General features: G+C 40.0%; 1 protein-coding gene across 5 annotated transcripts in view, besides 1 other annotated feature; it reads right to left on the bottom strand.

Moving 5' to 3' along the window:
* Positions 318-1,029: an enhancer, noted in NCBI's record as "OCT4-NANOG hESC enhancer chr10:118240088-118240799 (GRCh37/hg19 assembly coordinates)". NCBI's record gives its function as "activates a minimal SCP1, AML or CMV promoter by ChIP-STARR-seq in primed H9 embryonic stem cells {active_cell/tissue: H9 hESC(primed)}" and the evidence as "EXISTENCE:reporter gene assay evidence [ECO:0000049][PMID:30033119]".
* Positions 3,648-15,592, bottom strand: part of PNLIPRP3 (pancreatic lipase related protein 3) — a 50,111-nt gene continuing 38,166 nt past the window's right edge. For 4 of the 5 annotated variants that reach the window (NM_001011709.3, XM_011539279.2, XM_011539278.1 and 1 more), the window contains 5 exons: positions 15,437-15,555; positions 12,288-12,420; positions 9,726-9,837; positions 4,786-4,953; positions 3,648-4,515 (listed from right to left, as the gene is read on the bottom strand). In NM_001011709.3, the coding sequence (NP_001011709.2) occupies positions 4,452-4,515; positions 4,786-4,953; positions 9,726-9,837; positions 12,288-12,420; positions 15,437-15,555 (596 nt within the window). In that variant the 3' untranslated portion in view covers positions 3,648-4,451. The remainder of the gene's footprint in view (positions 4,516-4,785; positions 4,954-9,725; positions 9,838-12,287; positions 12,421-15,436; positions 15,556-15,592) is intronic. The other variant, XM_011539276.2, reaches the window with a different exon arrangement.

The raw sequence follows: 15,592 nt of genomic DNA, 5'->3' as shown, positions 1-15,592 counted from the left end.
GAAGAGGTAGAGACATGGAGATAAGGGGTTGGGGTACTTGCCCCTTCCCCAGAAAAGCGGGACTTGCCGCTAAGGGTGAAGGACCAAGGCAGGCGTCCCTGCGTGGTCTGACACCTCTGAAACCTGGGTGAATAATCAGAGAGGCGTCCCTGCAATGATTAAACACCAAGGGAAGGCTGCCTTCCCTAGTCTGTGACCGGCGCCGGAGTTTTGGGTCCATGGATAAAACGTGTCTCCTTTGTCTCTACCAGAAAATGAAAGGAATCGAAATTAAGAGAAGGGAGAGATTGAAGTATGGCGCCAAGATTGAAAGGAGAAAGAGGTTGAGGGATAATGAGGGAGGTTGGAGAAGAGAGTAAAAAGAGGCCGCTTACCGGATTTGAAATTGGTGAGATGTTTCTTGGGCTGGTGGGTCTGAGGACCTGAGGTCGTAGGTGGATCTTTCTACGGAGCAAACAGCAGGAGGACAGGGGATTGATCTCCTAAGGGAGGTCCCCCGATCCGAGTCACGGCACCAAATTTCATGCGTGTCCGTGTAAAGAGACCATCAAACAGGCTTTGTGTGAGCAATAAAGCTTTTAATCACCTGGGTGCAGGTGGGCTGAGTCCGAAAAGAGAGTCAGTGAGGGGAGATAGGGGTGGGACCGTTTTATAGGATTTGGGTAGGTGAAAGAAAATTACAGTCAAAGGGGGGTTGTTCTCTAGCGGGTAGAGTGGGGGTCACAGGGTTCTCAGTAGGGGAACTTTTGAGCCAGGATGAGCCAGGAGAAGGAATTTCACAAGACAATGTCATCAGTTAAAGCAGGAACAGGGCATTTTCACTTCTTTTGTGGTGGAATGTCATCAGTTAAGGCAGGAACCAGCCATCTGGATGTGTACGTGCAGGTCACAGGGGATATGATGGCTTAGCTTGGGCTCAGAGGCCTGACAGGTAAGCAAGTTTATCATTTACAGATACATACTAAAGTATAAATGGGAGAAACAGCATTATGTCTAGGATTTGGCTTAAAATACTCCAGCAAAAACAAACAAAACAAAAATAGGGAGAGTGTTTGTGTGCACACTCATAAAATAGGATTGGCAATATATGAAAATTGATAAACTGGTTGACAGGCACCTGGGGGTGCTAGTTTACTGCTTTTTTTGCTGTTGTGAATATTTAAAAGTTTCTACAAATATATATTTTTTTTTTAGATGGAGTCTCGCTGTGTCGCCCAGGCTGGAGTGTGGTGGCAGTGGCGCGATCTTGGCTCACTGCAAACTCCGCCTCCCGGGGTTCACGCCATTCCCCTGCCTCAGCCTCCCGAGTAGCTGGGACTACAGGCACCCGCAACCATGCCTAATTTTTTGTATTTTTAGCACAGACGGGGTTTCACTGTGTTAGCCAGGATGGTCTCGATCTCCTGACCTCATGATCCGCCCGCCTCGGCCTCCCAAAGTGCTGGGATTACAGGTGTGAGCCACCGCGCCTGGCCAAAAATAATTTTTTTTTTTTTAATTTTTAAAAAGAGAGAGAGTGGCAGGGAGTTGACAACAGTGTTGAACTCTGCTATGGGACGGAGCAAATGAGTAGAATTTCCCATTTGACTTTGTGACTGGTGGTCATTGGAAATCTGGGTGAGAGCTGTTCTAAAGTCAGATGGGAGCAGAGAGGAATTTAGGATGGGGAAGGATTTATTTTATTTTATTTTGTAATGGCAGGGACTTCAGATTTTAAAAACCGGATGCAATGATAAGTTGAATATACAAAAGAAAGAAAAAGTAACCCGCAGGGCAGTGTTCCCAAGAAAGCAGGAGAGGGTGGAGGCCACTGCACAGAGGCAGGGATTAGCCTGGGAAAGAAGAGGCAGCTTCCTTATTAGAAAGAAAAAGGATAGAATGGATGCAGATGTAGGTAGTTGATGTGTTTGGATCAAAAAGAGTAGAGATTGCTGGCTGGGAGCGGTGGTTCACGCCTGTAATCCCAGCACTTTGGGAGGCCAAGGCGGGCAGATCACGAGGTCCGGAGATCAAGACCATCCTGGCTAACATGGTGAAACCCTGTCTCTACTAAAAATACAAAAAAATTAGCTGGGCTTGGTGGCGGGCACCTGGGGAGGCTGAGGCAGGAGAATGGCGTGAACCCGGGAGGTGGAGCTTGCAGTGAGCAGAGATCGCGCCACTGCACTCCAGCCTGGGCGACAGAGAAAAAAAAAAAAGAGTAGAGATTGCTATCGGATCATGGCATCTGTTTTCTATATAAAGTAGGAGTAGCAGAAGAGTTTGGGGCAGGAGGTGTCAAAAGAAACGCATTTCAGGACAGTGCTGATCACAATATACATCATATCATATACATTCTAATTACATCCGTCTTCTCTGTGGTACCACTGTCCCAACAGCACTTCAGGTGCTGGCCCAGAGAAAAGAAATCTGAAAGTATTCAAGGTTAAGATTTTGCCTAACAGTTAAAAAAAAAAAAAAGTCAGCAAGCCGGAAGGGGAGGCAACTGTGGTCAAAGAGGACATTCCGCGTGGCGAGTTTGGAGGTGCGCATTTTTGAGTGATATGATGACAAGGCATGAGTGTGGGTCAATAGTCACAGAGAGTGGAGGGAGTAATGGGTAATTGGACTGCATTTTCAGCATTCATCTAGGAAGCAGAACAATTCCCTAACAGTCCTTGCCCAAACAGTAGTAGGCCACAATTGCTTGCTACAATAATGCAGGGCACTCAGAGGGAAAGGGAATCATTTTTTTTGGTGCTTCCTTAGGGAAAAGCACACACAGAAAATAATGGCGTCACCTTGAACTTTTGGAATTCCTTTGCCTAGATAGTTCATGCACTATTATTCATCCTCATACATTCTTATAATGCAAAAAAGGGGACAGATATTAAGAACTATAGGACAGTAAGTCTATACTTTATTAAAATAGGGTTCTCAGAAGTTAATTGACTCCCATTAGTCTTTTCAAACCTTGAAGGAGCCAGCCTAGAGATCTCCTGGGTGAGGAGGCAGCTAGTACTCACGTTGCCTAAGGCCACGGCCGGATGCATAACTCTTCCTCTACCTTGGGACCTGTGCAGGCTCGGGACAGCTGCTCTCAGGAAGACTTCTCTCCCCAGGGTCTGTGCTGACTCCACCACCAGCTTGCTAATGAATGCTGGACTGCGACACAATTACTCAGTATGGCTCAGTCCCTTCTACTGAGCTTACTCATAGCCACTGTGCTCCTAGGTTGGCCTAGGTGTGAATATGTGCAGCCCACCAGTGAGAGCAGTACACACCGCTACATCATGCCAATGTCCCTGAACCTGCTTTCCTCCTTCTCCCCAGCAATCTTCCATCCCTTCCTTGCAAAATGGGAGAGTCATCCCACATGCTTCTCTGCTTTCCACCACAGCACAGATTTATTTATGTACACCCACGGGTCTTTCTGAAGGTTCAGCTGGCAGCGAGGCACCAAGGAGAATCGAGAAACCCTCTGCAGAGTATCTGTCATCATTTCCTTCCAACAATATTTATAGCGCAGACCTATAGGCTAAACACTGAGCCTAGTGATAGAAAACAGAGCAAATGAAAGTATGAAATTTCTCCCTTTCGCTGGCTAAGGACAACCGACTTGGAAGAAATTGAAGCAACATAAAGAAAAAAGAAACACAATGGACACATTTAAATATTATAATATTGTTATTGCAAGAACAAAGGGTTACCCAAGTGCTTTACAAATGAAATGCTGCCTTGAGGCTAAATACAAATTCACCATAGAGCATTCAAGACCCAGGGAGAGGAGTAATTCTCCTGTGGCAGGGACTTTGGAGGAAGGGGGCTATACCCTGGGTTGTTGAACTTCAGGTCCCATTGCTAACTGATGAACACATAACAGATAAGCTCCAAAATCTCTCTTGTGCACACCCTGAACACCAAGGAACACCTTGGAAATACTAGTGCCATCTCATTAGTTTTTATTATTACTAGATAGACACATCAACCCACAAGGTTATAATCTACTATATATCATGCACTATAGTCATAATTTGTCTCAGCAAGATTTAACAACATAACAAATAGTTTTATATAATTTTAGAACAATGATTATTATACCTGAAAATATACTTCAAAAACTCAGCAAGCCAGAGGCTTACTTTTGTCCAGTGAGTTTATACACTCAACATACATTTGCATCACCTCCTCTTATTCAGGAAAATTCCAAAACAGCTCTATTTTGTCAATGATATCCAGATTCCTACAGATCATAGTAATTATCTTTTGTCCCAGGGTTCAGTGTGTTTTTAAGGTGCAGTTAGATGAACATTCTACACAGAAAAAAAGCAAACCCGTACTTGACTCTGAGTAAGACCCTTGTAAATGACTAAGTCATTTACAAGGGTCAAATTTGGTCTGGATGCCAGGTGGAAGGAGACACTTTTCTTCATTGCTCCTACTAAAGAAATCCATCAAGACTGTATCTGAGATTAGCATGGTTTCAGGTTCTGGAGAATATTAGGTCCCATAATGTCTTGGCTACAGAAGGTAGATCTGAAAGTTTTTAAGGAAAAAAAAAAGGAATTTTAACCTGATGCCAGGGAAGAAAAAGACACGGTAGATCCCCCGATTTAATGAGTAATTCTTATTTTCTAACACTTCTGCACATATAGCATTGGTTTCTTAACTTTTCCCTTTCTTTAATTGCAAAATTTCAAAGTCTATAAATTTTTATGCTACTTGCACATTTCAAATTATCTGTGGGTTTAAACACCATTTATAAAATGTAAACTACGAAAATGAAAAGGAAAAAGCAATACTTACTTATATCCATATTTCCCAGATGTATTTATCACCATTTCTGCTCCCAACTTATTCTGAGAATCTTCAAACAAATGTTTTTTCCAGATGAACTGAACACTTGTAATGTTTCCAACGTTAACATCTGCATCGATTAATTTTGTGTAAGTCATGCCTGGCTCAAGTTTTCCACTGTAAACAAAAATAAGACTCGTAAGTTTGCACTGGGTATTCACAGCACTGAATGAAAGAAAACACATCTGTGTATGCACTATGGAAGAGAAACTTGTATTTGCTAGCATTTGCTTGTAGGAGATTTATTCTTTCCATGTGTATTGATCAGCATCTCAGAATAGCATGGTTCTGAAGTTTGAAAGAAGGGTGAAGTAAATGGAAAGCTTGGCTAGGTGATTTTTAGAGAATACCTAGAGAGGCATTATTGTGATTTCTCCATAGTGAAAGATCTGGTCTTGGCTTTGTAGTATCAGAAACCAGATTATACTGACACCAGGAAATCAAGAAACTCTCAATAGTGGACTAAATGTACACAAGACTTATCTACAAACCAGGAGCCTGTTCACCAATTCACAGTGTGGAAATACCTCCCTTCGATTAACCAGAGTGCTCCCGTGCCCTTTTTCTGGTACCTTCTTTAACCACATAAAAGGAATTGGGTAACTAAACTAGTGATCAAAAGACATTTTGTTGATCACGGCAATAGAGCAGAGAGAGGTGCCATATCTCAAGGCATAAGGTATGTTCCATCCAAGGCAAAGTGAAACCAATGACTTGTTTTTTCCCCATCATGCAAAAATTCTCCACTGTGACCCAGATTGGTCGTGGCACCCAAACCAACATCTCTTACCCATAAGAGCTTCCTGACTCCCATTTCCTATGGCTATTGCTAATATTCTCCTTCTGATGAAACAGTCCCTTTTTTTGTTGTGTTGGTAAAATAAATTAAACTATAGTTAGTAAATGATTAAGCTACAATCCAATCTAAATTTGTCCCCATGTTGCTCCATACTGTATCACCTTTCCTTATTTCTTCATAACTTATAACTATTCTTCTGTTAATGTATCATTTGTCTACTCAAACTGCAAATATAAGCTCTGTGAAAGACGGACCTGTGTCTGCATCCCCAGCAATTAGAACAGTTCCTGGTACAGCGTAGGCACCTACATATTTGCTGAATGAATTAACGAATGAATATTGCTATTCCTAGGGTCTGTCTTATTATATTACTAGTAGAATTAATTGATTTAATTACCAGAGGAAACTGTTCTTCCAAGTTCTTAAGGGTAATCTTTCTGTTATTCCAAGAACTATCTTCACTCATTGCCCATACATTGCAGCCCTTTATGTCACTAGAAGCCCAATTAGCTAAGATATAACCTATGGTGAAGCTGGACATTTTTTTTAAACAAGGTCAGGGGTACATGTGCAGGTACATAGGTAAACATGTGTCTGTTGTACAGATTACTTCATCACCCAGACATTAAGCCTAGTACCCATTAGTTATTTTTCCTGATCCTCTCCCTCCTCCCACCCTTCACCCTCTGATAGGTCCTGGTGTGTGTTGTTTCCTTCTGTGTGTCCATGTGTTCTCATCATTTAGCTCCCACTTATAAGTGAGAACATTCAGTATTTGGTTTCCTGTTCCTGCATTAGTTTGCTAAGGATAATGGCCTCCAGCTCCATCCATGTTCCTGCAAAGGACATGATCTCATTCTTTTTTATGGCTGCATAGTATTCCATGGTATATAAGTACCACATTTTCTTTATCCAGTCTGTCATTGATGGGCACATGGGTTGATTCCATGTCTTTGCTGTTGTGAATAGTGCTGCATGAACATATGCATGCATGTGTCTTTACAATAGAACAATTTCTATTCCTTTGGGTATATAATCAGTAATGCGATTGCTGGGTCAAATGATATTTCTGTCTTTAGGTCTTTGAGGCCTTCCACAATGGTTGAACAAATTTACATTCCAACCAGCAGTGTATAGGTGTTCCTTTTTCTCCAAAACCTCACCAGCATGTTATTTTTTGACTTTTAATAATAGCCATTCTGACTGGTGTGAGATGGTATCTTATTGTAGTTTTGATTTGCATTTCTCTAATGATCAGTGATGTTGAGCTTTTTTTCATATGCTTGATGGCCATGCATATGTCTTCTTTTGAAAAGTGTCTGTTGATGTCCTTTGCCCGCTTGGTAATGTAGTTGTTTGTTTTTGCCTTGTAAATTTGTTTAAGTTCCTTACAGATGTGGGATATTAGACGTTTATCAGATGGATAGGTTGCCAAAGTTTTCTCCCATTCTGTAGGTTGTCTGTTCACTCTGTTGATAGTTTGTTTTGCTGTGTCGAAGCTCTTTAGTTTAATTAGATCCCATTTGTTAATTTTTGCTTTCGTTGCAATTGCTTTTGGCATCTTCATCATGAAATCTTTGCCTGTGCCTGTGTCCTGAGTGGTATTACCTAAGTTGTTTTCCAGGGTTTTTATAGTTCTGGGTTTTACATTTAAGTCTTTAATCTATCTTGAGTTAATTCTTGTAATATATGGTGTAAGCAAGAGGTCCAGTTTCAGTCTTTGGCATATGGCTAGCCAGGTATCCCAGCACCATTTATTGAGTAGGGGATTCTTTCCCCATTGCTTGTTTTTGACAGGTTTGTCAGAGATCAGATAGCTATAGGTATGCGGCCTTATTTCTGGATTCTCTATTCTCTATTCCGTTGGGTCTATGTGTCTGTTTTTGTAGCAGTACCATGCTGTTTTGGTTACTGTAGCCCTGTAGTGTAGTTTGAAGTTGGGTAGCATGATGCCTCCAGCTTTGTTCTTTTTGTTTAGGATTGCCTTGGCTATTTGGGATCTTTTTTTTTTTTTTTTTTTTGGTTCCATATGAATTTTAAAATAGTTTCATCTATTTCTGTGAAGAAACTCAATGGTAGTTTAATATAGATAGCATTGAATCTATAAATTGCTTTGGGCGTAGATAGCCTATTAGAAATTTAGCAGTTTGGCCAGGTGCGGTGGCTCAGGCCTATAATACCAGTATTTTGGGAGGCCGAAGTGGGTGGATCACTTGAGGCTAGGAGTTCGAGATCAGCCTGGCAAACATGGTGAACCCCGTCTCTACTAAAAATACAAAAATTAGCCAGGCATGGTGGTGGGCACCTGTAATCTCAGTTACCCAGGAGGCTGAGGCAGGATAATCACTTGAACCCGGGAAGGGGAAGTTGCAGTGAGGTGAGATCATGCCACTACACTCCAGCCTGGGTGACAGAGTGAGACTCCAACTCAAAAAAAAGAAAGAAAGAAAGAAAAAGAAATTTAGCAACTTATATAATGGTCTTATTTATTTGTGAGTTGCACAAGTAAAAATATATGCTTACATTTGTATAGTATTAAATGGATGGGATTAAAAATATACCTTATATACCATCATTTTGTTTCCACTTGCTCAATTATCTAGATCTGTCTTTTCATGTTATTGATATTGCCATTTTAATGATATTGATTCTGCCTATCCATGAGCATGGAGAAGCTGGACTTATAAAACTTGTTTGAAGAATAGAACTAAACCAGCATACAAATTTAGCTAGCTGACTTCATTTCAAGATGACACATCTGCTGTGAACCTTCAATGCTTACTTATTCTTAAAAGAGGATTGGGTAACTATGCAACAGCATTACAAACAGCTTCTTCGGCCGTTATCAAAAGAACAGAGATGTGGAAACGCTCTCACAAATCTTAAAAGAGGCAGAAACTGCATATTCATCACCAGCTGCCCCAGGTTAGATGCCTCTGTGCAGGGCACAAATCACACAGCTTTACCCAGCGTCCTGTGAGCCTCAAAACCACAGGCACATGATTATGCTGAACTGCTCTCAGAGGGAGGCTTGATGGAGCCATGAAGAAGAGGTAGAAACAAAATAGCAGACAGGAAAAAGTATCTGCAGCAAAGAAACAGCATGGGTGAAGTCCTGCAGAAAGGTAAGGGTAGGATCTATTCAGTACTGGGTAGTGCAAACAGTGTAGCCTCGCTGAACTGAAGGTGGAATAAAGTCAAATGGTGGGAGACATGGTTAGGAGAAGGGTGGGCTGGAGCCTGTGCACCAATCAGGATCCAGATCATCATTCACTGAGCTTATATTTACAGGCAGTTGGACCAAGGCAAGATGACCTGCAGAAACTCTGCCAGTGATAAAACGGATGCATCTCTCAACTGACAAAATAACCACAAAATCTCTGCTTTTCGTGCCTGTGCCCAGTGTTTGAGGATGATGGAAATCACAGAGATAAAACACCTAATACATTCATCTGTTTGCAGAAAAGGTTGCATCTAATTAGTAGGTATAATGTTAATTCTGACATAAATTACAGAATAAAATAATGGACATGAACATAATACAAAAATGCTAAGGCTGAACAAATAAAAGATTAAGAAAATTTCAAGATAAAAGGAGGGTTTAGCAAAAGATACAAAATGAACATCTGAACTGGATTATTTTTAACCTCTGACTATTCTAACACATGTCCTGTATCTGTGGGTAATGCTTAGACAGCTTATTAGAAATTTAGCAATTTATATAAATGTCTTATTTGTTACTGACACAAATAAAAATATATGCTTATATTTGTATAATATTAAGTGAATGGGATTAAAAATATATCTTGAATACCGTCAGTTTTTTCCACTTGCTCTATTATCTAGATCTGTATTTTCATGTTATCACTTCCTAACATTTTCTGTTTCTAGTTGGAACTGTAGAGAAAATACATATTATGATTTCTACTTTATATTTGGAAAACATGAAGTAAAAAGAAAAATCAAAGATACCATGGTAGCCTGTGGAATTGTAGGAAAAGAGAAGACTAAACAGCTTACTGAGCCAGTCTCACTTAGTGTTACTGAGCCCCCAGCACTGTGCAAAGCGTCAGTTTCTCACTCTGCCTACCTGACAATGGCAAACTCCCCAGTTTTCCTAACTGCCCCGCCTACACGAAGAAAGACAGTTCCTTGAGTGACTTCGCTTCCACTGAGTTTAACAGACAATTTGTGCCTCCAACCTAGATATAAGGAAACAAGAAGGAAAGGGAGAGAAAGGGTTAAAAACACATGGGAAGTATGACTTCCTGGATCCTTTAATGGAAATAAAATTTTCAGGGTTGTATTTGAACAGTGCTGCACATATTCATGCAAAAATACAACTTTAGTTTCAGTGAATTTGGTGAAAAACTACGTTTAAAAATACACATTATGGGTCACATTTTAATTTTCCAGAATAAATAGTTTAATAATATTTTAAAAGAAAATTATTTATTTTTCCAGGCATTTTTATGACTTTTAAAAATGGAAGTCCTGTGTCTTCTTTTGCCTATTTCCTTTGTATTGTGTGGCATATATATAGTATGTATACTTTCTATAGCCAAGTTTTTATTTGCCATAATGTGACAATTAATCCAGAAAAATCTAGGAAACCAATTGGGCAAGAAGATGTATGCTTTTATAATCATTTAGAGGCAAAGTGAGTCATTCTTCTTCTCCTGCAGGGATATGTGCTAAGAATGCCCAGTACACGTAGATACAGATCAATATAGTATCTGTCAGTAGATCATTCCCTTGCAAATGGCCAAATGTGACTTTTTACATCTAGAGCTAAACAGATCTTTTATTCTGAATTCTGAAATTACTGTACGCTTAATAACAAACTGAAAAAATGCAATTCTTCATATGATTATTTGAAAATAATTGAAAGGGGAAAGAAACCTACCAGAGAGGAATTTTAATTCATGAGTTAATCATTGCCAAAGAATTTTCTTTCTCTTCTCCGCCCATTCTACTGGAACCTGGCTCCCCCTGCTGTCTCTCCACTGAAACCACCCCAGCCAAGCTCACTAAGGGTTGAACTGTTTCTTCATCCAATGAGCCTCTATGGGGCCCTGTCTCATTTGACCACAATACAAAGGAAATAGACAAAAGAAGACACAGGACTTCCATTTTTAGAAGTCATAAAAATATTTGGTGTGGGCCGGGCTCGGGGCCTCACGCCTGTAATCCCAGCACTTTGGGAGTCCGAGGCGGTCAGATCACGAGGTCAGGAGATGGAGACCATCCTGGCTAACACGGTGAAACCCCGTCTCTACTAAAAATACAAAAAACTAGCCTAGCGTGGTGGCGGCGCCTGTAATCCCAGCTACTTGGGAGGCTGAGGCAGGAGAATGGCATGAACCTGGGAGGTGGAGCTTGCAGTGAGCCGAGATCGCACCACTGCACTCCAGCCTGGGCGACAGAGCAAGACTCCATCTCAAAAAAAAAAAAATTATATATATATATATATTTGCTGTGGTGTATGTCTCCTCTCTTCCTGCTCAACTTTCTTTCCTTGGCTCTTTTAACGATAAGCTTTGCTGGTCTTCCTTCTCTCTGCCCATTCTTCAGTCTCCTTTGCAGGGGCCTCTTTCTCTGCTATCTTTACTTCTTATCTGGCACATTCTTCTTGGGTAGTGATGTCATCCACTTTCACCACACTGACTACAGTCTGAGTGACTCCCAACTCTCTATCTGTAGAACACATCCATTTCCAGAGGCTGAGATCCGTATCTCTACCTGCCTCATGGTGCACACACACTCTCAAACCCTAAAGGCAGCTCCAACGTAACATGGAGAAACTAGCCTATCATCTTGCTCCAAACTAGCCTTTCTTCCTGTGTCGTCAAGCTCAGAGAATGACAGCTCATCCACAGCCAGAATTGTCCTTGACTCCTTGCTTTTCTGCATTTTTAAATCCATTCACCTAGGTCCATTTTGCTTCCACCTTCTAACTATCTTTGCAACCTCTCTACTTCTATTTTTTTTTTTTTTTTGCCTGAATTGTGGCAATAATTGTGTAACAGGCACCCTGCTTCCATCTTGTGGCCTTCTAATCCATGCAGAAACTAAAGTGATTTTTCTAAAAATAAAAATAATCTGGTAATTCTTAATACCCTTCAATGGCTTTCCATTCACCCACAGACAAAGCCCAACCTCTCCACTTGGGACACAAGGCCCTTGCCTCATGATCTGACCTGATTTGTCTCTCCCACTTCATCTGCTATCACTGTCCTCCCAGTCTCTACAATCCTGGCAGGGCCTTCTTTCAGTTTCTGCTCTCTCTTACTTCCAGGCATTTACAGACGTGGTCACTTCTGCCTGGAATACTTCCCTTCTCCCTCTTACTCATCCTTCAGGAGTCAGCTTAGAAATCTCTTTTCCTCGAAAGGCTCTCTGACCTTTATGCTCTGCACATATCTTGAATGTTTCCTAAGAGAAAGTTTATTACGCAGGATTGGAACTGAGATTTTACTTGCTGTCTTTCCCACTAGCCTAAACTCAATTAAAGACCTCACTGTGTTGTTCTTCACTGAAATCCCAGTCTGGCCTAATGCCCAGTTATTTAGTAGACACTCAATAAAAACTGTTGAATTTTTAAAGATAAGTACCTTAAAGCATTACAATTAAACTTAGCTATGATACTTACGGGCAAATGGGGAAAGGGACCCTGTGTTTAAAAAATAATGTGATCCATTAGTCTTCATATTTTTGAAGTGAAATCTATCAGCAAAATGACCCATTGTTGGGCAACCTTCTTTGGAACAAAAGAAGCAATTTCCCTGATGACAGAAAATGAAAGGTGATTACTTATGTAATTAGAAATGTTGTCCTTCAATAAACTCGCTATATATTATTAAATAATAATAAATCTCCAGGATCTAAATAAAGGATATGCATTTTAAAAGTGCCTAACAGGCCACCATGTCTGTTTTCAAAAATAAAACAAAACCAACTGAGGGAAAAAGAGAAACTCCCTATTAGAAAAATGGGTAGATGATATGAATAGACAATCCACGGAAGAGGAAACTCAAATAGTCAATAACTATGCAAGATGTTCAGTCTTACTAGTTGTCAAGCATATGTTAATTAAAACAAGGTAAAATTTCATATTCAGCAGATTTGCAAACATTAAAGCAATTGGCAACACTGAATACGTGTAATAGGGGAATTCTCATTTGCTTCTGATGGAAAGTTGTATTGTTCTTCACTGCATTCCCAGCCTGGAATATAATTTTTAAAATGTCAAAAATATAATCAGATCAAATTTTTTAATTTTTAAAAATTTGCTCTGCACACAAAAGAACAGTCCTTGAGCTGGGAGACTTCAAACTGAAAATGGTAAGAAGCCCCCGCTTACAGCAGTCACAAGACAGTTTATAAAGGCGGAAGTATTTTGACCTTTTTTGGTGATTGGCTATTATGCATTAACATTCTTCTCTAGGGCAAGTAGAGATATTTATGTTGATTTGTCTACAGCTGATTGGTTTCATTTCCCTGAATCACGCGGACAAGGAGGTAAAGCTTATGTTTTTGTGTTTCATTTATGATTAGAGCTAGTGTTTCTGGAAAATCAGGATGACTTGGTTTTGGCTATGTGGTCATGGGTGGCCTTGGGTTATATCTAAATTGTGGCCTTCATTTTTATTTTTCTTTAGCAATCGATAGACATTTTAAACAGTGATTTGGTAATGTCTAATAAAGAAGGAAATGCATGTATGCTTTGATAATTTCACTTCTGTTGTATGCCATGAAGGAATTCCACTCAAGTACATAAAGAGACATACAAAGATGGCAGAGTTGGTAGACGTTGCTTTTTTTTTTTTTTTTTTTTTTTTTTGCGAGACAGAGTCTGGCTCTGTTGCCCAGGCTGGAGTGCAGTGGCCCGATCTTGGCTCACTGCAAGCTCCGCCTCCCGGGTTGATGCCATTCTCCTGCCTCAGCCTCCCGAGTAGCTAGGACTACAGGCACCCGCCACCACGCCCGGCTAATTTTTTGTATTTTTAGTAGAGACAGGGTTTCACCATGTTAACCAGGATGGTCTCGATCTCCTGACCTAGTGATCCGCCTTCCTCGGCCTCCCAAAGTGCTGGGATTACAAGCGTGAGCCACCGCGCCCGGCCGACATTACTTTTAATAACAAAAACTGGAAACAATAAAAACTCACATTAGTAGGAGAACTAATCAATAAATTATGCCTGATTCCTATAAAATAAATACATTAGATCTATCTACATCAATGTAAATTTCAAATTTTATATTTATAATATTTAATGAAAACAGCAAATCCAGAAACATAATATGAAAGCATTTATTTGATACATATCAAATTCAACTCTGCCTTAGGGGAAGGATTGAAGGGAATATAAGGTCGTTTGCTTCTTTAATTTTATTTGTATGTTTTAAAAATCTAAAGGAAAAGGAATGAAATGTGAACATTTTAAAAACATGGGTAGCAGTGCTTGAGTATTTGCTATTTTAGGCTTTGAACTTTTAATTTAATAAACCATAGACATTTAGGCTAGGGCTACTGTAACATCCTATTTATTTATTTATTTATTTTTTGAGATGGAGTCTCAATTTGTCACCCAGTCTGGAATGCAGTTGTTATTCAGAGGCATGATCATAGCACACTGTAGCCTCAAATTTCTGGGCTTAAGAGATCTCCTGCATCAACCTCCCAAGTAGCTGGGACTACAGGTGCATGCCACAGCTGGCTCTGACACACTTTGATTGTATGACTATTAGGGTACAGTACAATAAAGTACGTCAAGGAAATTGATTCATTCTAATAGTTTGTAACCACAAGTAGCATCCATGTGGCATGAGCTAGCTTCTAAGGGTACTCCAATTTGGCAGATTAACTCTTATCTCCAAATATACAAAGACTCCAAGGGCCTGCTTCTCCTAGAAGTAAATGCCAGGATCCCGTGGGTGCTCAGAGTAGCAGCCGAGGCAGGAAGAAGAGAGAGGTCGGGGACAAGGAGGATATGTGGAAAATGCTACTGTTTGGCTGTCAAGCTTTCCAAGAATGGCAGGAAACTGACAGGATGGCCTAAACCCGTCCATCTGCCAAGCTCTGTAGCAAAAGGGACATGCTTCTTCATGTCACAACACAGCACTTATTCACGAAGTACTATTACTTACCATAAACTTCAGCTGAACAGCCCACATTTTCTACCGTGATAAAACAGGGGATTAGGTCTCTAAAGCACAAGAATGAAGATCTTTTCCACTTCCCACTACAAAATAGATTTTCTTTCTTTTACTCAAGTAAAATCAGATTTGGTAGTTTGTCACATATTGATCTGTGTAGAGCTCCTGTGAGCTATCTATGCTTTAGTTCTGCTCTGTATAAATAATTAAATTTTAATAAAATAATTTTCATGTTCCAAGTAAATAGTAATATGTTTGGTTGTAGCTATTGATTGGTTCAGCCTTCTTAGGGCATCTTTGAAGATGACATTTAAAATATATATGCAGAAATATTTTTGCCCTAGACTTATGCCTGTTACACAGTAACATCTAATTACTGCATAACAAATGGCCAAAAAAGCAAAATTGTATATAATTTTCAAAGGAGCTGAAACAACCAGAATACAAATAGTTGGTTGAGTTATTTCAACCCTCCAGCAATCCCAGCTACTGTTCAGTACTCAGCACAGAAACAATCCATTATTTCCCAAAATGGCAGGTGCATTTTTTTTGCTACCTACACAAAGCCCTAATGTTTAGCTGGATGATTGTGTTTCAAAAAATTACTTTATAATTAAATTCCAAGTAAGATGATTTACTTACTGCTTTAAAAGATGTGTAGGATCTACAAGGATAAGCAATAAATGCATCAGGATTAAGAATGCTTTCAGCATAAAATTGATAACTTCGGGCATGGTTACAGTCAAAGAAGGAAGCCATTTCTGTGAAAACAATTCCCAATTAACTGATAGCAATTAA

The sequence above is a fragment of the Homo sapiens genome, chromosome 10 (assembly GCF_000001405.40).
Source record: "Homo sapiens chromosome 10, GRCh38.p14 Primary Assembly".
Classification (NCBI taxonomy): Eukaryota; Metazoa; Chordata; class Mammalia; order Primates; family Hominidae; genus Homo; species Homo sapiens.
This window is presented reverse-complemented; position numbering and strand designations above follow the sequence as displayed.